The sequence below is a fragment of the Homo sapiens genome, chromosome X (assembly GCF_000001405.40).
Source record: "Homo sapiens chromosome X, GRCh38.p14 Primary Assembly".
Classification (NCBI taxonomy): domain Eukaryota; kingdom Metazoa; phylum Chordata; class Mammalia; order Primates; family Hominidae; genus Homo; species Homo sapiens.
This window is the reverse complement of record NC_000023.11, coordinates 110343595-110366400: the sequence shown is the minus strand read 5'-3', so window position 1 is coordinate 110366400 and position 22806 is coordinate 110343595. Positions and strand designations below refer to the sequence as shown.

The 22806-nt window shown below is 36.8% G+C and overlaps 3 protein-coding genes across 11 annotated transcripts in view; 2 read left to right on the top strand and 1 right to left on the bottom strand.

The window, feature by feature from the left end:
- The window catches only part of RTL9 (retrotransposon Gag like 9), a 97487-nt gene extending 89934 nt beyond the window's left edge, over positions 1-7553 (bottom strand). For all 9 annotated transcript variants that reach the window (XM_047442284.1, XM_047442283.1, XM_017029695.2 and 6 more), the window contains exon 1: positions 7485-7553. The gene's annotated coding sequence lies outside the window, so the exon portion shown is untranslated. The remainder of the gene's footprint in view (positions 1-7484) is intronic.
- AMMECR1 (AMMECR nuclear protein 1) overlaps positions 1-22806 on the top strand; it is a 246048-nt gene that overhangs the window by 73833 nt on the left and 149409 nt on the right. The gene's annotated exons all lie outside the window — the stretch shown is intronic.
- On the top strand, positions 19428-19947 carry GNG5B (G protein subunit gamma 5B). Its single transcript, NM_001396022.1, has one exon. It carries the CDS (start codon positions 19492-19494, stop codon positions 19696-19698), a length of 207 nt encoding a protein of 68 aa, NP_001382951.1. The 5' UTR covers positions 19428-19491; the 3' UTR covers positions 19699-19947.

The following is a 22806-nucleotide window of genomic DNA, read 5'->3' as shown; positions in this document are numbered from 1 at the left end:
TCACAAAAATTTTCAAATCCGGTATACCCCATTAGTTTTTGGAGATTCACATTACCTGTTGACCTATTAAGGACTCTGAATATTCTCGCAGCCAGGAAACCACATTTGACTAATCCAGTGGTTTGTAACATTGCTTGTTCATGGAGCTCTTTATGTAATACTATCAACATCAATCCTCAGAAACTAGTACTCCATGGAATACATTTTGAGAAATGCTAGCTTAGGAATCATGTTGGGGATTGGAAGCTGACTTTTAGGATAAAACCTTTGTTGGGCCAGAGTCATAGCAGCTTTTCTCCAAGACAATATGCATGGCAGGAACCAACACATGTCCTCCCCGGGCCATCTCTCTATTCTGCAGCTGAGCCAGTCTGCAGAGATTTCGGTTCTATCTAGTTCCCCTAAAGCCAAATAAACCTAATATTGTCAATACAGCTAATTCCCTAGTTTTCATTCAGCTGAAGTTTCCTGATGTTATATTTTCAATAATTCAAGAGATAGTATTGTCACAATGCACTGGAAGCAGCATGCATATTTACTAACCACTTCCTTGTGTCAGGCACTATGCTTGGCACTTTGCATAGATCACCTCGCTCACTCTTTGCAATAATATTGTGAGAAGGTATATATTATTAGAAAACACCCAGAAAGATCATGAGCAACCAGTTTTCTTCAGAAACTTGTTGCCTGGAAGAAGGAAAATAGGTTTAGTCTGTAACAAGCAATGTGTTTTGCACAGACAGATTTGAAGCCCTAGGAACACTGATAGAATCAGAATGTTGGAGCCAAAAGGAACCTTAGAGATCAGTTTAAGATATTAGAGAGAGATTATTGCATTCTCCCCAAAAGTTATTATGTAAATTGTCTCAGGAGAGCAGGATTAAGAAATCTTGCCATAACTGCCTTTGCTTTCATTTAAATTAAGCCATATGAAATGATATTGTCACATGAACTAAAGCATATAGATCACGCTACAAGAATGCAATAAGGTAAGTGATTATTGGCTGGAATTGTAAATGAACATTTGGAGTTTATTCTGTATTTCAACGTCATGGAAGCCTGATTTCACCAGAAGGCAATGGTTCTCAAACTTGAATATGTATCAGAATTATTCCAGAATCTTGTTTTAAAATGCAGGCTCCTGACCCTATCTTCAGATATACTAACTCAGTAAGTCTGCTATAAAGGACCAGGAAACTGACATTTTTAACTAGCTCCCCAGGTGTCACTCAGTGGACCACCACAATAGGCGGCCCACAAACTGACCACAATCTGAGAAAGACATCCCTGGGAATATTCTATTCATAATTAAGGTGTGAGCAGGCCAGTGTCAACTGGTCAGCTAGGGCAATTCCCCTGCAAAGACACTGATGTAGAGGTACAGGAAGTCCCTACTGTTTCTAGATTCCCATTTTCCTACAGAATCCTTGTCTTAATGTGATAATGAACTCCTAGAGACATCTTCCTTGTGACCTGATGCAGGGAGCTGAGGCTCAGGAACAAATATAGTTGGCACTACAGGGAATATTTCTGGATATAATATTAAGGTACACAAAAATTCCCCCTGTAAGCTCTTAGATGATTAGACATTCTTCGGTAGACTTAGAATATTATGCTATCCCATTATATTATGGTCACATATATAGTAAAGAAATTAGTATGGCTGGCAGGCTGTGGGATGCTTATACTCTAAATGGACCTTGGTCCTATTCAGGATCCATTCATCAGCTTCACAGGTTCCAAAACTCAATTTTTTCCATTTTAGCCAGGGATTGATCAGGCTCTAGGGGACAAATTTCACACAACCTAAACTTATAAGGCAATAATTTGGAAGCCAAAATGTCAATTTATTAATTCATCTTGATAAATCCCAGTAGGAAATCTACTTAGGAAACCAAATAAAGACAAAAGGCTGTTTGTTTGGTGGGAGCAGCCTGCTTTAGTTAGTGGAAAGAGCCAGAGTTTTGGAGTCAGATAGGCTAGGGTCCCAGCTAGGCTATACATAGTGGGTTGAATTGTGTCACCGCCCCCAAAAGTTACATCCAACTGGAACTGCAAAATGTGAACTTATTTAGAATATGACTCTTTGCTGATGTATGTAAGATAAGGATGTCTACATGAGATCATCCTGGATTAGGGTGGGCTGTAAATCCAATGATAAGTGTCCTTATAAGTGACAGGGCACAGAGACAAGGGAGAAGCCCATCTGAAGACAGAGGCAGGGATTGGAATGATGCTACCACAAGCCAAGCAACACCTGGAACCGCTAGGAAGAGGCAAGGAACAGAATCTCCCCTAGAGCCTTTGTAGGGAGCATGGCCCTGCCAACACCTTGATTTTGAACTTCTGGCCTCCAGAACTGTGAAAGTATAAATATCTGCTGTTTTAAGCCACCAAGTTTGTGGCAATTTGTTATGGTAGTCACAGAAAACTAATATACCACTCATTCCGTTTTATGGGCTTAAGTCACATAACCTCTCTGAGCCTCAGTTCCGTCATTTGAAAATGGAACTAATAATAGAATTCTATGATATCATAGAGTTGCCTTGAGGATTAAATAAGATAATTTATGTAAAGTGTTTGACTCTGTAGGCACTTGTTATATGGTGACTGTTATTACTGGTGAGTGAAGAGATAGTATATGGTGTGGGATGATCTGAAGAGATGGAGTCATGTAGTTTATTCAGTCTGATGCATCCATGCATCACCCTATCAGAAAGTCAATAAATGTGTCAGTAGGCCAGGGCACAGAGTAATAAAAGCAACTTCTCTTTCTAATTATTTTTATTTTTCTCTCTATAATGGTCAAATAACTTGTTTGTACATGTCACAATATCATGAACCCCGTCTTAGTTATATGGACTTTCCCAGCCATAGCATTTCCAAGGCTACAGTTGTGTTTTCCACTGATTACATTTTAGAGCATTACTCCTTAATGACACATAGGGAGGTCCCTTATCTATCAGTAAATACTTTTCTGTGGGCAGCCAATCTCATTTCTACAGTGGGCAATTTCTTTTGTCAGCTTAAGCCCCTGAGAATGGCATGTTTCTACCCTATCAGTTGACCTTAATTCTAGAGTTGGTGGCCCTATTCCCTCTCAGTCTGTAGCCCTCTGTCCATTTTTCAAAACTCCACAAATTCACAGTGCTGTGTCTACTTTCTCACCCACCTGTTTGTAAAGAGAAAATTCCTTAGCTTCTGCATCTGACACTCCATTCCCACCCATATAGCCCCAACTAGTGTTACCTCTGGAAGGCCAAGGAGATCATGCCCTATTCATCTTTGTAGGTACTGCCTAGTGTGCTGCATGGCATATGGTAAATATTTGTTGAGGTGACAAAAAACAATAGATAAATCTTGGCTCTGGAGTTGGGCAGACCTGAGTTGAAATGCTAGCTTCCTTTTCTGCTGGTTGTGGGGCCTTGAGCAAATTACTTCAGCTTTTAGTACTTCAGTTCCTTCATCTATAAAATTATGATAGTATATATCACTTAGGTGTTTTATAAGAATTAAATGAATTAATATATATAAATCCCCCAGCACAATACCACATACGTAGTGAATGTTTGGTAAATGTTAGCAATGTGTGGAAGACTATATAAAATAATGAATGAGTGAAAGTGCATTTTCAATAGGAAGTCATATAACTACAGGATATCTTTAGTGCCTGTAAGAGATCCAAGGAAGTATGAAAGAACAGTCAGTAAGAACTGGTAAATACTTCATTTATCATATTTCCTACCATGTGATTCTTACCATTAGGAGTACATGAAAGCTGAAGTTTTTCAGAACAAACCATTCACATTGAATGCATGGAAGGAAAATATCATCTCATATCATAAGAGTAACAGTCGCCCAGCTTCTGGGAGTACTTCAGAATATGATTAAGTGTTGAAAAGCGTAGAGTTGTCAATAGAAGCTATTGCTAGCAGTTGTTTCAAATTAATTAAAAATACTGATTTCAGCGTTCTGGTTTTAGTACAGAGTATTTGAGTTATTATTGTTATTAGAGGGAGTCTGAGTCAGGAGGGTTAAATAGACAAATGACAACATTAAAGGAAGTCAGATGAAATTTCACACATTGGGAGAATTGCACAGGCAATGAAAGCAACTTTTACTTTATATAACAAGCTTAAGTTTTAGTGTAGGGATGAGGGGAAAAAGAAGGAAGGAGAGTTGATATGCTGCAAACCCATCCAAAGCTAGATTTTGTTCAGGATTCTGCACCATCAATGGCTCTGTTATATATATATATTTTTTATTCCACAGCTTTCCAATCTCCCACTGATGCATTCATTCAGTAAAATAAATCATGTGCCTACTATATGCCAGGTACTATTCTAGATGTTGGAGATACAGCAGTAAACAAAAGTCCTTGCCCTCCTGGAATTTACATTCTAGCAGGGGTCAGTACACTATGGCCCATTAGCTAAATCTAGCCCGCTCCCTGTTTTGGTAAATACAGTTTTATTGGAACACAGCCATGCTCATCTATGGCAGCTTTTGTATAACAATGATAGAGGTAGGTAGTTGTGTTAAAGATTACGTGGCTCACAAAGCCTAAAATATTTATTATCTGGACCTTTACAGAAAAAGTTTTCCAGCTCCTGTTCTAGCAGAAGGAGATAGATGATAAACAAATAAATAGATAAACATATAACATCTGCTAGTATTCAAAGTATAAAGAAATAAAACATGGAAGGCAGATAGAGAATGGCGAGAAGGCGCTTGCAATACTAAATATGGTAATCAGAGAAGATTTTACCAAGTGGGATATTTGATCCATCACCTGAAGGACAGGAGTATGTCAATATCTGGGTTGCATACAGCATTATGGGCCATTATAAGGGGTTTTGTTGTTACTGAGTGTCAGATGGGAAGCCATTGGAGGAGTTTTGAGCAGAGGAGTGACATGATCTGACATTCACATAATAAAATTATCCTGGTTCCAAAAAACAGTGAGAGAATAATAGGCTTGAGTGATGGTGGCAAGAACAGAAGCAAGGAGAACAGTTGAGAGGCTAGTGCAATATAATCCAGGAAGCAGATCATTGTGACATAAACCAGGATAGTAGCAATGAAAAAGTGGTCAGATTCTAGATATATTCTGAAGGTAGAACCAATAAGATTTGCTGATCAAATAAATGTAGGATATGAAAGAGGGAAAAATCAAGATTGATTCCTAGGTCTTCCGCCTGAGCAACCGGAAGAATGAAATTGGTATTTAGGGAGACGGGGAAGACTGTGAGGAGCAGGTTTTGTGAGTGCAGCAGGTTTTGTTGGGGGTTGTGGGCAGGGGCAGTTTTGAACATGGTAAGTTGGAGATACCTATTAGGCATGCAAGTTGATATGTCCAGCAGGCAATTGGGCATAAAAGTATGGAGATACAAATTTGTGACTCATCAGCAAATAGATAGTATATTAAGCCACGAAGATCGGAGCATCACTAAGAAGATAAAGGACAGAAGATATCTTAGGCTTCAAGCCTTCCTCTACCTTTCAACTCCAGAAGTCAGTCCGTGACAAAATCCTATCAATTCTTCCTGTATAATGTCTCTCAATTCACCATTTTCCTTCCATTCCCACTGCTACCATTGTAGTCCAGGATCTCACCTTGTCTTACTTGGCTTTTACAATAGCCTCCTAACTGGTTTCCTTGCCTCCAAATGTCAACTTGAAACTCATCATCTCATTTGTCCTTCCCCTCCAAAAAAATCTTTCTACTTCTCCTGGGCTCTCTATCTTAAAGAATGGCATCACTATTCATAAGCATTTGCTTAAACTTGAAAATTTGAAATCCTCCTTGTCACCTCCCTTTCTTCTACTCTCCATTATGCAATTCTATTACCAAACCCTGACATTTTTACCTCCAAAATATAACTCAATTCTGTCCACCATTCTCTGTCTCTATTACTATCAATCTAGTTCAAGATAACATCACCTCCCACCTGGACAATGGTAATAGCCTCTTGACTACTCTTCTTCCCTCTAGTTAATCTCCCATATGAAAACCAGTGGAATCTTTCTAAAACAGTGCTATGCATATTTTGCCTACCTATTCTGTAGGTCCACAGAATAAAATTCAAAAGCCCTTCATCATTTGCCCATAACTTTTCTTTCCAATGGTATCTACTATGGCTTCTCTGGAAATTCCCCTCATTTCATCCCTGTGGGCTTGTCAGTGGTCTTTAGACCCACCATGACCACAGTGTGCCCCCAATACCTAGTGCAGACCTTCCCAAACATATTACAAGTGTCTGAGGCTATGAGATTTCTTCTCTGTCCTCAACTGAGCCCAGAGACAGTGCTGTTGAAACTCCTAGAATGCTTGCCTCTAGATGTCAAACTGCTTCCTCCATTCAGCCTAGTGTGCTTTACAAATACTATGCTTTTCTCTGCATGCCATGACACAATAAAGGTTGTGAAGGACTGCTTTAATGCACACCATTCCCAGAGTTTGGAAAGTGCTGCTCCATTCTCTTCTCTAAGTTCTAAGTACCCTTCTATGCCAAGTTCAAGTCTCACCTTTCTGATAAAGCAGTCTTTGATGCTACATATCCAACCTCAAAATTCTTGTATGATGTGACCAGACCACTCATTTGGCACTTAGTATATGTGCTGCTATTTAACTTTTTATGGTGAGACCTTATCTCTCTGTGTTGTCTGTTGCTTAAGAGCAACAATTTTTATACCGACTTTTGCACCCAGGGCCTTACCATACAGTAAGACACTCAGTATATTTTTACAATATTAATGAATAAATTAATTAATGAATAGATAGTTAAATTCCATCAGATGGTGCAATGGACAAGAACATTAGATTCAGAATCAGAGAATCTGGATTCTAGTGCACTTTGCCACTAGATGGTTGTGTGAGACTTCAGGAAAGTTGCTTGCCTTAGTTGCCTCATTCACAAAATAGGAACAATACTTCCCATTGTGACTTCCCAAGTTGAGATGGGATAATTTATGGAAAAAATATTTGGCAGATGAAAAGAGCATGTCGTTCATGAGTAATGCCAAAAGAGGCAGTGTGGAAGATAAAGAATGAGCTCAAAGAAGCTGCAGAAAACATTAGAGGGTTCATGGGTGAAAAAAAAGCCAAAGGGGTAAGGGAAATTTGCTAGCAAAGTAGACTTGCCCAGGAGTGATTGAGAAAGGATGATAAACACAGAAGAAAGAAAAATCAAGTTTCTGTTGCGAAGCAGTATAACACAGCCACTAGATCCAGACTGCCTAGGTTCAAAGCCTGGCTCTGGCACTTAACCAGCTATGTGACCTTGAACAAGTTATTTAACATCTCTGAACTTCAGTTTACTCATATGTATTATGGGGGCAATAATAATGCCTATTTCCAGGGAAGTGTTATAAGATGTAAAGGAGTTAATACTTATAAAGTACTTAGAGCAGTGCAGACCAGTGCCTAGCATATAGAGCGTTATAGAAGAACGTGTTAGATAAAATAATAATCTTCTCCTTACCAGGCAATACTCCAGTCCTCATGGCTGGCACTTTCTCCTGGGACCTGGAGCAGGGCTCACGAAAGTTCTGACTTGCTCTCCAGTGGGCACGTCTCCTTTCCACATTCCAGAGCCCAGTCCTCTGAGCTTAGCCTATCTCACTGCTCAAAGGACACTATGTTTCCCAGCCTACAAAGTTTCTTTTCAATTCTTTAGCCTTTTTCAAAACCCAATAGAGTTCCTTGTGAGAACAGATAGGAGTGAATTCCATAAGCTCCCAGAAGCAAATACAGACAGTATAATCTAATCTTTTAGAGCAATGGCTTTGTAATCAAGCAAAAGAGAGTTTGAATCAGGGCTCTGTAAATGACCAACTGAGTGACCTTGGACAAATCCAAGGTCTGAGCCTCAGCTTGCTTGTCTTCAAAATGAGGCCTCACAGGTGGTTGTCAGGATCAAATGAGAAAATGGACATGATGCATTCAGTATAGGGCCTGGCATGTGGTAAGCACTCAGAAAGTGTTAGCTCTTATCATTAATAATTCCTAGGATTATGGGTCTCGATTTTCCCAACTCTAGAATGTAATTTAATAGCACTATAGCTCTTATCCACTATTCCTCTGTCATCTCAATTTGACCCTTCCAAACTAAAAAGGTGCAAAAAAATATTCTTGGTGTGATAAGTTGACAACACTCTGCATTTTACACTCCCTTTGAGGTTTATGCCCAGTTTAAAAGAATTACAGAGAAAGAACCCGCAACTCTAAGTATGCTTCAGATTTCCATATGTCTGTAAATGCCTCAAAGACAGCAGTGGTCCTCTTAGCCTAGGGTGAACATCAAAATCACCTATTTTTATTTTTAATTTCATTAAATATAATTCTTCTGATAAAATGGCAAAGAATTTTTTTTCAAAATCCTTGCTTTTACCCTAGAAATGATACTCCTCATGAAACAAATGTCCAATGGGGAGACAGAGGGCCAGGCAAGTATATTTTGCAAAAGTTATCCAAGTCAGTCTCGTAAACACCCCTGATGTGAGAGAGGGACTGGAACATGCATTTGGAGGATGAGGCCAGGGTCTTGCCTTGAGAAAAAATCCAAGAAGGGCAAGTATAACCACTCTGCTTCCCACACAATGTGGGTATGTAGAAACATGCCCTGCACCCACAGGGAAGAGCATAGTATTTTCTCCTGCATGCATTAATCACAGAGGATTTCCCTCCTATAGTTATACAAGCATCATCCTTGACACATCAGTTGGAGAACTGTACTCAGTGAGAATACAAGATTCATCCAGCTTTGAAAATGTAACTATATCTAACAACTGGATTAAATATATTTCATGCCCAAAGATCTAATACTATTTAAAGCCTACAGCAAGGAAGAATGATTACCAAATAATTTAATTATTTTTGGTTTACACATCTGTCATCAAAGTTAATCGTTTGCTGGCAGAAACTGGCCATTTGGTCTTGACCATGATCACTAATGAGTGTGCTTGCATTTCATATCAAGGAAACAGTCTCTCAAATGGTTCTAATCAAATAAATTAAAAGCTGAAATACTTTTAAAAAAGTAAAAAGTGTAAAAAGGCACAATTTATAAGATTTATGAAGTGGTTACTTTTTCTTTTCTGATTTTATGTATATCTATCACTCAACACTTGCTGTGAAACATATTAGATACACCTACGTTACTTTGGAGGACCACCAAATATTTGATTTTCCCATGTATTTATCTAAAAATGTTATTAAATTTTCATTTAAATCTTTCAAAAATAGAGTGTTAAATTTCATGTATATGTGTGATCTATACTAATAGATCTAAGCTAATGTATACATACTCAGTTCTCATTTTTCTATTTGCAAAATTCAAACTAATGAATTAGTTTGAAGAAAGAAGAAAGAAATGAAGAATTTTGAAAAGTAATTCTCAAAATGCTTAAAAATAGATGCTAAATTCATTGAGCTACTCATTTCAATATTTTAATATAAGAATGCAAAATTTGTAATGTAGTAGTTAGGTACACAGACTTGAAAATCAGGGAGAAGTGATTCCATTTTCCTTCTGCTCTCTTGCTAACTATGCAACCTCAGGCAAGTAACTGCACTTCTCTGAGCTTTAGTTATCTCATCTGTAAAATGAGGATAATAATATTATATGTCATAAGGGATGTGGACATTAAATATGATAATACTTACAAAATATTATTATTTTTTCCTTTCAAAACTATTTTTAATTGACAAATGATAAGGTGTGTATATATATATATGGTACAATGTGATGTTTTGATCTATGTGTATATTATAGAAAGATTCAATCAAGCTAATGAACATATCTATCACCTCGCTAATTTATCATTATTTTGTGGTAAGAACATTAAAAAGCTATTCTTTTACCAATTTTGAAATACACAATATATTATTATTAACTGTGGTTACCATGTAGTGCAATACATCACTAAAAGTTATTCCTCTAGTTGGCCAGTGTGGTGGCTCACACTTGTAATCCCAGCACTTTGGGAGGCCGAGGCAGGTGGATCACCTAAGGTCAGGAGTTTGAGACCAGCCTGGCCAACATGGTGAAACCCCGTCTCCACTAAAAAAACACAAAAATCAGCTGGGTGTGGAGGTACATGCCTGTAATCCCATCTACTCTGGAGGCTGTGGCAGAAGACTCACTTGAACCCAGGAGGTGAAGGTTGCAGTGAGCCGAGATGCTGCCACTGCACTCCAGCCTGGGCAACAGAGTAGGACTCTGTCTCAAAAAAAAAAAAAAAAAAAAGGTTATGCCTCCAGTCTCACTGAAATTTTATATAATTTGATCAACATCTTCCCTTTCCCCAACCCTCCTCCTCCCCACTAACCTCTGGTAACCACCTTTCTGTTCTTTGTTTCTATGATATCCACTTTTTAAGATTTCACGTAGGAGATCACACAATATTTATCTTTCTGTGCTTGCCTTATTTCACATAGCATAGTATCTTCCAGTTCCATCCATGTTGTTTTGAATGATAGAATTTTCTTATTTTTTAAGGCTATATAGTATTCCATCGTGTATAGGTATTACATTTTCTTTATCCATTCATCTGTTGATGGACATTTGGGTTGCTTCCACATCTTGACTATTGTGAATAATACTAAAATGAACATGGGCGTGCAGATATCTCTTTGACATACTGATCTCAATTCCTTTGGATTTATACCCAGAAGTGACATTGCTGTATCATACGGTAATTCTATTTTTAGTTTTTTGAGGAACCTTTATACTGTTTTCCAAATGGTTATATGAATTCACCTTCCAATCAACAGTGTGCAAGGATTCTCTTTTCACCATATTCTCACCAACACTTATCACTCATCTTTTTGATAATGGCCATTTTAACAGATGATACCTCATTGTGGTTTTACTTTGCATTTCCCTGATGAGTATAGATGTTGAGCATTTTTTTTCACATATCTGTTGGCAATTCACAACTCTTAAGAAATGTCTATCCAAATCCTTTGCCCATGTTTTTAAATTTTTAAAAACTTTAGAGACAGGGTTTTGCTCTGTTGCCCAGGCTGAAGTGTGGTGGCACAATTACAGCTCACTGCAACCTCCAGCCTCTGGGCTCAGGTGATCCTCCCACCTCACCAACCTGAGTAGCTAGGACTATAGGTGTGCACCACCACATCCTGCTAATTAAAAAATAATTGTGTAGAGACAGGGGTCTTGCTTCATTGCCCAAGCTGGTCTTGAACTCCTGCCTTGCCCATTTTTTAATCAGGTTGTTTTCTTGTGATTGAATTGTCTGATTTCCTTATGTATTTTGGATATTAGCCCCTTGTCAGATACATGTTTCCCGGTATTTTCTACCAATCTGTGAGCTGTCCCTTCACTCTATTAATTGTTTCATCTGCTGTGCAAAAGCTTTTTAGTTTGATGCAATCTCATTTGTCTAATGTTGCTTTTGTCGCCTATGTCTGTGCTTTTGTTGCCTCTGCTTTTTCTTGTTGCCAAGAAATCATTGTCCAGACCAATGCTGTGGATCTTTTTCCCTATTTTCTTCTAGTAGTTTTACAGTTTCAGGTCGTATGTTCAAGTTTATTTATTTCGAATTGGTGAGAGATAGGGGTCTAGTTTCATTCTTCTGCATGTGGATATCCAGTTTTCCCAACACCATTTATTGAAAAGACTGTCCTTTCCCTATTGTATAGTCTTGGCACCTTTGTTGAAAGTCAATTTATCATAAATACTTGGGTTTGCTTCTAGGCTTTCTGTCATGTTCCATTGGTCAATATGTCTGTCTTTATGCAAGTATCATGCTGTTTTGATTATAATAGCTTTATTTAATATACAGTTATCTCTTGGTATCCATAAGTGATTGGTTCCAAGACGTCCCACAGATAATAAAATCCACAAATGCTCAAGTTCCTGATATAAAGTGGAATAGTATTTGTATATAACCTATGCACATCCTCGTGCCTACTTTAAATCATCTCTAGATTATTTATAATACCTAATACAATGTAAATGCTATGTAAAGAGTTCTTATACTATATTGTTTAAAGGGAATAATAACAAGAAAAAAGTATGTACATGTAAAGTACAGACACTTTTTTGGGAATATTTTTGATCCACAGTTGGTCAAATCCACAGGTGCAAAACCCATGGATACAGAGGGCTCGCTGTATGTTGAAATCAGGGAGTGTGATGCCTCCACCCTTGTTCTTCTTACTCAAAGTTGCTTCGGCCATTAAGAGTTTTTTCTGGTTCCATATGAATTTTAGGTTGTTATTTCTGTGAAAAATGACACTGGAATTTTGACAGGAATTTCATTGAATCTGTAGATCACTTTGGGTGGTATGGAAATTTTAATAGTACTAATTATTCCAATCCATGAGCATGGGATATCTTTCCATATATTTGTGTTTTCTTCAATTTATTTCATCAATATTTTATAGTTTTTACTATACAGATCTTTCACCTACTTGGTTAAAGTTACTTCTAAACATTTTATTTTTTGATGCAATTATAAATAGGATTTTCTTAATTTCTTTTTTAGATAGTTCATTGTTAGTATATAGAAACACTGCTGATTTTTGCATATTTTGTAACCTGAAACTTTACTGAATTTGTTCATCAGTTCTAACAGATTTTGGTAGAGTCTTTAAGGTTTTCTATCATTCTCAAGTACACATGGAACACTCTCCATGATAGATCATGTTAGGCCACAAAACATGCCTTTACAAATTTAAGATTGAAATTATATTATTTTTTCTGACCACATTGGCATGGAAGTAGAAATCAACAACAGGAGAACCTTGAAAAACTCATAAATATGTGGAAATTGAACAAAACAATATGTTCCTGTACAATCAATGAGTCAAAGAAGGAAATTTCAAAAGGAAATTTTGAAATATCTTGAGATAAACAAGAATGGAAACATAACACTCCAAAACTTATGGGATGCAGCAAAAGTAGTCGTAGGAGGGAAGTTTATAGCAATAAATGCCTGCATCATAATAGAAGAAAGCTCTTAAATAAACAAACATTACACCTCAAGGAACTAGAAAAAGAAGATCAAAGTAAGCCCAAACTTAGCAGAAGGAAAGAAATAACAAAGATTAAAGCAGAAATAAACAAAATAGAGACTAAAAAAATTTAGAAAACATTGACAAAACTGAAAGTTGGTTTTTTAAAAAGATAAAATTGACAAACTGTTAGCCAGACTAACAAAGAAAAACAGAGAGAAGACTCAAATAAACAAGATCAGAAATGAAAGAGAAGACATTACAACTAATACCACAGAAATACAAAATATCATAAGATACTACTATGAACAACCATACACAAACAAATTGGATAACCTAAAACGAGTGGATAAATTCCTAGAAAAATGCAACCTACCAAGACTAAATCAGAAGACATATAAACGTTTCACAACAATGTCTGGCATTGTGCTAAGTGAATAATGAATGCTATAAGTTTTTGTTATTATTTCTACCAGAATGTAAGCTTCATGGTGGCAGTTTTTTTCCACCTTCTCTGTTTGGTCCAGTGGCTAACATAGTGCATGTTCAATAAATATTTGTTGGGTGAATTAATTTATGTGGCAGTTATCTGTCTGAAAGACTTAGGGGAACTGCTTATTAATTATTCCACTGCTTCTAATCACACTTGGCAGCTGCATGAGTAATTCAAGGTGAAATTTTTAAAGAGGCTTTATTGAGAAATAATTCACATACCATATACTCTCTCCATTCCAAGTGTTCAATTAAATGGTTTTTAGTATATTCAAAGAGTTGTGCAAACATCACCATAATTAATTTTAGAACATTATCAGCACCCCACAAAGAAACTCCATGCCCATCAGTAGTCACTCCCATTACCTGGCAAACCCTCTCTCCACCCCACCCCTAGGGCACCACCAAATGACTTCCTGCCAATATAGATATGCTTATTCTAAACATTTCTTATGCATAGACTCATACAATAGATGGGTTTTGTGACTAGTTTCTTTCATTTAGAATAGTATTTTCAAGGTTCATTACATGTTGTAGAATGTATCAGTATTCCATTCATTTCCATTGTATGGGTATACCACCATTTGTTTATCCATTCATGGGTTGATGGATATTGGAGTTGTTTCCACATTTTGGCTATAATGCAGCCATGAACATTCATATCCAAGTTTTTGTGTGAACATGTATTTTCATTTCTCTTGGGTATATGCCTAGGAATAGAATTTATGGGTCATATAATAACTCTATGTTTAACTTTTTGAGAAAATGCCAGACAATCTTCCACAGAGGCTGCACCATTTAATATTCCCTTTAGGTTCCATTTTCTCCTCATCTTTGCCAATATTTGTTATTATCTCTTTTTAAAAAAAGTTATAGCCACCCTAGAGGGTATGAAGGGGTATCTCATGGTGGTTTGGGTTTGCATTTCTCTAACAATTATGCTGAACATCTTTTTCTTGTGCTAATTGGCCATTTGTGTATCTTCTTTGTAGAAACATACATTCAGATCTTTTGCCTTGCCTGTTTTTAAATTGGGTTGTCTTTTTTTATTGAGTTGTGTAAGAATTATATATTCTGGATACAAGTACTTATCAAACATGGTTTGCAAACACTTTCACATCTTATTCTCTGGGTTGTCTTTTCATTTCCTTTGATTCATTAAAGTTTTTAATTAAGATTTAGTCAGTTTATCATTTTTTTCTCTTATTGCTTGTGTTTTTTGGTGTCCTATTTAAGAAAGTATGGCCTAATTCAAAGCTATGAAGATTTACATCTATGTTTCCTTTTAATAGTGCTATAATTTTAGCCCTTACATTTGGATCTTTGCTCCATTTTGAGTTAATTTTTGTATATAGTGTGAGGAAGGGGTACAACCTCATTCTTTTGCATGTGAAGATGCAGTTGTCTCAGCACTATTTGTTAAAAATACTCTGTTTTCCTCGTGGAAATGTCTGGGTGCCCTTGATGAAAATCTATCAAACATAAATGTAAGAGTTTATCTCTGGACCCTTCATTCTATTCCACTGATCTATATGTCTATCCTTATGTCAGTACCATACTGATTGTTGTAGCTTTTTAGTAAGTTTTGAAATTGGGAAGTGTGCATCCTCCAACTAATGTCTTTTTTAAGATTGTTTTGGCTATTCTGGAGCCCTTGCATTTCCAGATGAATTTTAAGATCATCATGTCATTTTTTGCAAAGAAGCCACTGAGATTTTGATAGGGATTGTGTTGAATCTATAGATCAGTTAGAGTAGTATTGCTGTCTTAACAATATTGTCTCCTGCACACCACGAACATGGAATTTCTTTCCATTTACTTATGTTTTCTTCCACTTCTTTCAAAAACGTTTCATAGTTTTCAGTGTACATTCTTACACTTTCTTGGATACATTTATTCCTATTTTATTCTTTTGATGCAATGAAATCCTTTCTTTTCTTTTCTTTTCTTTTTTGAGACAGGGTCTCACTCTGTTGCCCAGGCTGGAATGTAGTGGTGCAATCATGACTCACTGCAGTCTCAACTGGCCAGGCTCAAGTGAACCTCCTGCCTCAACCTCCTGAGTAGCTGGGATCACAGGGTGCGTGCCACCATGCCCAGCTAATTTTTTTTATTATTATTTGTAGAGACGGGGGTCTCACTATGCTGCTCAGGCTGTTCTGAAACTCCTGGGCTCAAGCAACCCTCCCACCTCACCCTCCCAAAGTGCTGAGATTACAGGCATGAGCCCCCATGCCCAGCCTGGAATCGTTTTCTTAATTTTATTTTCAGATTGTTCATTGCTAGTGTGTAGAAGCACAACTGATTTTTGTATATTTCTCCTGCAAATTGCTGAATGCTTTTATTTACTTTAATAGTTATTTTGTGGGTTCTTTAGGGTTTTCTATGTATAAGATCAAGCTATCTTCAAATAGAGATCATTTGAATTCTTCCTTTCCAAACTGGAGGCCTATTATTTCTTTTTCTTCCCTAATTGCCCTGTTGAGAACTTCCAGTACAGTGTTAGGTAGAAGTGGGGTGAGTGAACATCCTCCTCTTGTTTCTGATCTTAGCAGAAGAGTTTTAGTCTTTCACCATTAAGTATGATGTTATCTGTTGGGTCTCTATAGGTGCTTTTTATCAGGTTGAAGAGTAAGGTGAACTTTATTTGAAACTAGAAGCCCCTCACCAAAGATGGAAACCTCAGGCCCACTTTTATTTTCTCTCTTCTGGTATGGCACAATTCTTCTGTTTCATATTCTCAAAACAGGGCGAGAATGCCTTAAGAGACAGACCTATACCTTATTCTGGATTTCAAACTGGGAACATTTCACTTCAGATGGAAGTGTTTTTGAAAGATAGCCTACTGAGAATTGTATAGATACTTAAGAATTCATTTGTAAAACATAAGATGGCAGGCTTTCTTTGAGCCATGACTTTATTTAGCTTGATTAAGTCTGTGTTCTACCGGTATACGTCATCTTTTCCTTAATCTCCTTGATGGGAGAATGCGAAATGGGAGACACATACAGGACTTTCTTATACATGATCCCTAGAGATGCAGTGGCATGTATGATAAGACTGCCTGGGTTCATTCAAATCCTTGCTCTGCCTCTTACACATTTGACAAGTAATGTGTATGTATCTCAGTTTCCTCATTTTGAAAAATTAAGATGATAAAACTATAATGATAATAATACCTAACTCAGAATTGTTGTGAGGAATAAATGAATTATTATATACAAAAAGTACTAAGAACAGTATAAAAATACTAAAAACAGTCCCTGACACCATCGTAAACTCCATTTATGTACTTCCAATTAGGCTATGTTGTTCAGTAATAACAACACAGGTTTAAGAGCCAGATAAATCCAGGTTGAAATTCCTGCCCAACTGCTTTTACCAGCTGAATTTGGTATAAAAACACAAATGAACTGAACTTTGTTTGCCTCAAAATTCATACGTTGAGGCCCTAATCTCCAATGTGGTAGTATTTGGAGGTCAGACCTTTGAGAGGGCAACTGGGGTTAGGAGGTAATGGGGTTTGCCATGTGAGGAAACCAGGAAGAAGGCCTGCACCACACTGAGCACATTGGCACCCTAATCTCAATCTTGGACTTCTCAGTCTCCAAAACTGTGAGAAATAAATGTTTGTTGTTTAAGCCACTCAATCTGGGGTATTCTTGATATAGCAGCCTCAACAGGCTAAGAGACCAGCTATGTGGCCTCTGACGAATTAATCTCTCTGAGATTTAGTTTTTTCATACCTAATCGGGTACAGAACCTACTTTTCAAGGTTATTATAAGGCATGCATTAGATAATTCCTGTGAAATATCTAACTCAAGATAATTGTTGGACAAATGGCAACTATTATTGTTGTTACTTTATTTTTATTTTCTTCTTTTAAGGCCAATGAGATCTTATCACTGAATTTCTTTTGCTCATTTAACAGTTCAGGCCTGGGGATGATAACAGCAAATGGCATAAGGGGCTTTTAGTTTTTTAAAAGTAATATATACTTGTGAAAAATTCAAATTTTACAAAAAGTGAAAAGTAAAAACCTGTTTTCATATGCATTTCCCTGCCCATTTTACTTCCCCTTTCTTAGGGTTAGCAACAAGGAAAAGAATTTGACTTATATCCATCCAGACCTTTTTCTATGCATATACATAAATGTGAATTATACATAAGAACACATACACATACATATATATTTCTACATAAATTATACCATATTATATATTGTTTTGTGATTTTCTAATTTTACTCGACAGTATATTTTTGATATCTTTCCATTTGAATAAAAATCTACCTCATTCTTCTTAATAGCAATACAATAACCCAAGAGATGGAAGTATCACTGGTTTACTTTTTAAAAATCTTTAATAATTGCTCTCAAGATAATATCATAAGTCTCTAGTTGCAGTGTGCTTTTTCTCTCAAAGCCTGTGTTTAACAATGTAGTATGTAAATGTGTAGTTTAAAGCAAATTCATAGTTTGCATGGATCGTGAGTGTTTTGTTGAATTCTAGGTTATAGGGACAGAATGGAAAGCTAAGTACTTAGTCAAAAAGAGACTTCTTTAGATAGGTCAGAAGGAAAAACAAGTCATCTAAATTATTACCAGCTTTTAAATAATTTTTCCTGGTGGGTTCTAGTGTTGAAAGAATAAATGAAAAAGAAGACTGAAGTCGAAATCAGTAAGTTCAACAAAAGCCTTGAAAAGCTTATTAAATACAAAGTAACTGTTGATCTGGTGGAAAAAGAGCACTGAAGTTACTACAATAATTAATCTTTTGTACTGAGAAGTTGCTATAATAATAATTCTTTTGGATGAGAAATGGGCCAAAATAATTGAGAAATGCCAAAAAAAGGTAACCATGTAGTCAGATGATTACGTTTACATACATAAATTCACAAAAGAGAAATTAAAATTAATGCTTCCAGAATAAGCAAAATACATTGTGTCAATTTCCAACAGGTCCAAACTGTCTGTGTGCTACTAATGGAAGTGTCAGAATTCTGGGCAAGTATTCACAAAGATCAGAAGTGTCATAACACTGAAGCCATGTGATTATAAGAGAAGAAAATCTGTATAGATGGAATCATGTGTATAGATGGAAATGTCACTCACTGTAATATCTGAGCAGGAGGTTGTAATCAAAGCACTTAGCAATTAGAAAGTACAGGGCCCTAACTCCCACAGAATTTTTGTTACAAGCAGCTCTGACAGCACACAGAACTGTTGTAAGATACTTTGTGAGAAAGCTTTGTCAGTGGTAATGCCTGCTTTAATAACATCTGGAAACAGCTGTTTTTCTCCAAAAGACAGCAATATGTCTAAGCCTGCCAAATACAGATAATAAGGTGCTTACCTATCATTAACAAAATTATGCTTTCCTTATTGACAGAAAAGATCTGTTCACATTGTGAGAAGAATACATTACAGAATTAGCGAAGAACTAACAATTGAAAAGCATCACACAGATGGCTGCCAAGATGGGCTGCTTCCCAGCCCAAAATCTGCAACCCTCTAAGGTGGCTACAATTATCCTGAGGTTCACCATGAGTTTTTTTGAAAATATCTCAAAACAAAATTATACATGAGGCACTTTAATTAAAAATATATATGCCATACAGCATTTCGAAGAAAGGGGAAAGATGGCATGAAAGCAAGCTAACAATAGCAGGGCATTATAAACTTCCACAAGGTTGGGAGCCAACAATAGTAAGATTCAGTGGCAGTTTTTATGAATTCAGAGCATTGTGCCAAGGCACATTGTCAAAATGTCTGAAAATTTATTTTAATGTCAGCAACAAAATTATTCATTCATTGAAGAAATATTTACTGAGGGAATACTATATGTCAGGTACCAATACACACATTGCCTGCTATAAAGTTTGTATCATCAATGTATAGGAATGCTGGTATTCCTGAGCCCTTCTAATAGCATCTTAAAAATGATATTTAGCGGCCCCGCCGACCCACGGCCCACGACCCACCGACCCACGAATCGGCCCGGCCCCCGCGTTCACCATGTCTGGCTTCTCCAGCGTCGCCGCTACGAAGAAAGTGGTTCAACAGCTCCAGCTGGAGGCCGGGCTCAACAGCGTAAAAGTTTCCCAGGCAGCTGCAGACTTGAAACAATTCTGTCTGCAGAATGCTCAACATGACCCTCTGCTGACTGGAGTATCTTCAAGTACAAATCCCTTCAGACCCCAGAAAGTCTGTTCCTTTTTGTAGTACAATGAATCTTTCAAAGGTTTCCCAAACCACTTCTTATGATCCAGTGAATATTCAAGAGAGATACATTTGAAGCCTGTACAAAAGCTTATCCCTGTAACACATGTGCTGTAATATACAAAATTCTACTTTTGTCTGTCCTTAACATCTACCTCTGAATTTTTATGAATTTCTACTTCACAAGGGTAATTGTTTTATATACATTGGCAGCAGCATACAATAAAACTTAGTGTGCAAGTTTTAAAAAATGATATTTAGCAATATCATATTAGTGAAAACTAGTAACTTATTGTGGTTTATTATTTCTTTGAATACTAGTGATATTTGACACTTTTTCATATGTTTATTGATTATATGACCATTTGTAGTTCCTTTTTGAATAATCTACTCATAGCCTATGTCCACTTTTTTTTGACTCATCCATGTTTCTGTTTATATACAGGATAACAAATTCAGGAACAATGGGAAAGTAACATATAAAAATTTAATAGGAAATACAATAGAGATTATAAAACACTACCATTTGATTTTTTATGCAAATACTTCAATATTCCAATTTTTTCTCACTTGCTAAATAAAGCACACAACTTGAAATGCTAAATAATTGTGTTACTGTAAATCTTTTAAAGAATAAAATGTTGGTGAAAAACCAAAATTGCTTAGTAAGGTATGTATGACCTTGTTTATTATCTATCATAGACATCAAGATGATCATAGTTAATACCAACTTAAGCTTTACAGAATACTGTTTTAGGCCCAATATTGATATAATAAATGAAGGTATCAGAGAACCTTGTATTTATGGCATCAGGTTATAAAGATCTATTCAAAACCATTTTTGTCAAAATTTAAACTCTGGAACAAAAGTCAAATTGTTTCTAAATGAGACACAAAATAATTATTGCTAATAGTACAAATTTTGTCCTATGGGTAATACTATTGTATTTTTCTTTTTAAAAAAATTATTTCAATTTTTATTTTTGATTCAGGGAACACATGGGCAGGCTTGTTAGCTGGGTATACTGTGTGATGCTGAGGTTTGGGGTATGGATGATCCCGTCACCCAGGTAGTGAGCAGAGTACCCAGTAGGTAGTTTTACAGCTCTTGGTCCACACCCTCCCTCTGCAGTGTCTGTTGTTCCCATGTGTCCTCAGGTATTACTATTTTCAAGTTTTTTTCTTTTTATATATATATATATATTTTTTTTATTACACTTTAAGTTCTAGGGTACATGTGCACAACGTGCAGGTTTGTTACATATGTATACATGTGCCATGTTGGTGTGCTGCACCCATGAACTCATCATTTACATTAGGTATATCTCCTAATGCTATCCCTCTCCCCTCCCCCAACCCCACAACAGGCCCCGGTGTGTGATGTTCCCCTTCCTGTGTCCAAGTGTTCTCATTGTTCAATTCCCACCTATGAGTGAGAACATGCGGTGTTTGGTTTTTTGTCCTTGTGATAGTTTGCTGAGAATGATGGTTTCCAGCTTCATCCATGTGCCTACAAAGGACATAAACTCATCATTTTTTATGGCTGCATAGTATTCCATGGTGTATATGTGCCACATTTTCTTAATCCAGTCTATCATTGTTGGACATTTGTGTTGGTTCCAAGTCTTTGCTATTGTGAATAGTGCCACAATAAACATACATGTGCATGTGTCTTTATAGCAGCATGATTTATAATCCTTTGGATATATACCCAGTAATGGGATGGCTGGGTCAAATGGTATCTCTAGTTCTAGATCCCTGAGGAATTGCCACAGTGTCTTCCACAATGGCTGAACTAGTTTACAGTCCCACCAACAGTGTAAAAGCATTCCTATTTCTCCACATCCTCTCCAGCACCTGTTGTTTCCTGACTTTTTAATGATCGCCATTCTAACTGGTGTGAGATGGTATCTCATTGTGGTTTTGATTTGCATTTCTCTGATGGCCAGTGATGATGAGCATTTTTTCATGTGTCTGTTGGCTGCATAAATGTCTTCTTTTGAGAAGTGTCTGTTCATATCCTTTGCCCACTTTTTGATGGGGTTGTTTGTTTTTTTCTTGTGAATTTGTTTGAGTTCATTGTAGATTCTGGATATTAGCCCTTTGTCAGATGGGTGGATTGCAAAAATTTTCTCCCATTCCATAGGTTGCCTGTTCACTCTGATGGTAGTTTCTTTTGCTGTGCAGAAGCTCTTTAGTTTAATTAGATCCCATTTGTCAATTTTGGCTTTTGTTGCCATTGCTTTTGGTGTTTTAGTCATGAAGTCCTTGCCCACGCCTATGTCCTGAATGGTGTTGCCTAGGTTTTCTTCTAGGGTTTTTATGGTTTTAGGTCTAACATGTAAGTCTTTAATCCATCTTGAATTAATTTTTGTATAAGGTGTAAGGAAAGGATCCAATTTCAGCTTTCTACATATGGCTAGCCAGTTTTCCCAGCACCATTTGTTAAATACGGAATCCTTTCCCCATTTCTTGTTTTTGTCAGGTTTGTCAAAGACCAGATGGTTGTGGATGTGTGGTATTATTTCTGAGGGCTCTGTTGTGTTCCATTGGTCTGTATCTCTGTTTTGGTACCAGTACCATGCTGTTTTGGTTACTGTAGCCTTGTAGTATAGTTTGAAGTCAGGTAGCGTGATGCCTCCAGCTTTGTTCTTTTGGCTTAGGATTGATTTGGCAATGCGGGCTCTTTTTTGGTTCCATATGAACTTTAAAGTAGTTTTTTCCAATTCTGTGAAGAAAGTCATTGGTAGCTTGATGGGGATGGCATCGAATCTATAGATTACCTTGGGCAGTATGGCCATTTTCATGATATTGATTCTTCCTACCCATGAGCATGGAATGTTCTTCCATTTGTTTGTGTCCTCTTTTATTTCATTGAGCAGTGGTTTGTAGTTCTCCTTGAAGAGGTCCTTCACATCCCTTGTAAGTTGGATTCCTAGGTATTTTATTCTCTTTGAAGCAATTGTGAATGGGAGTTCACTCATGATTTGGCTTTCTGCTTGTCTGTTATTGGTGTGTAAGAATGCTTGTGATCTTTGCACATTGATTTTGTATCCTGAGACTTTCCTGAATTTGCTTATCAGCTTAAGGAGATTTGGGGCTGAGACAATG

Bases quoted from the DNA above. Each gene is read 5' to 3' on its own strand.
- GNG5B (NM_001396022.1), top strand. From the start codon at position 19,492: ATGTCTGGCTTCTCCAGCGTCGCCGCTACGAAGAAAGTGGTTCAACAG.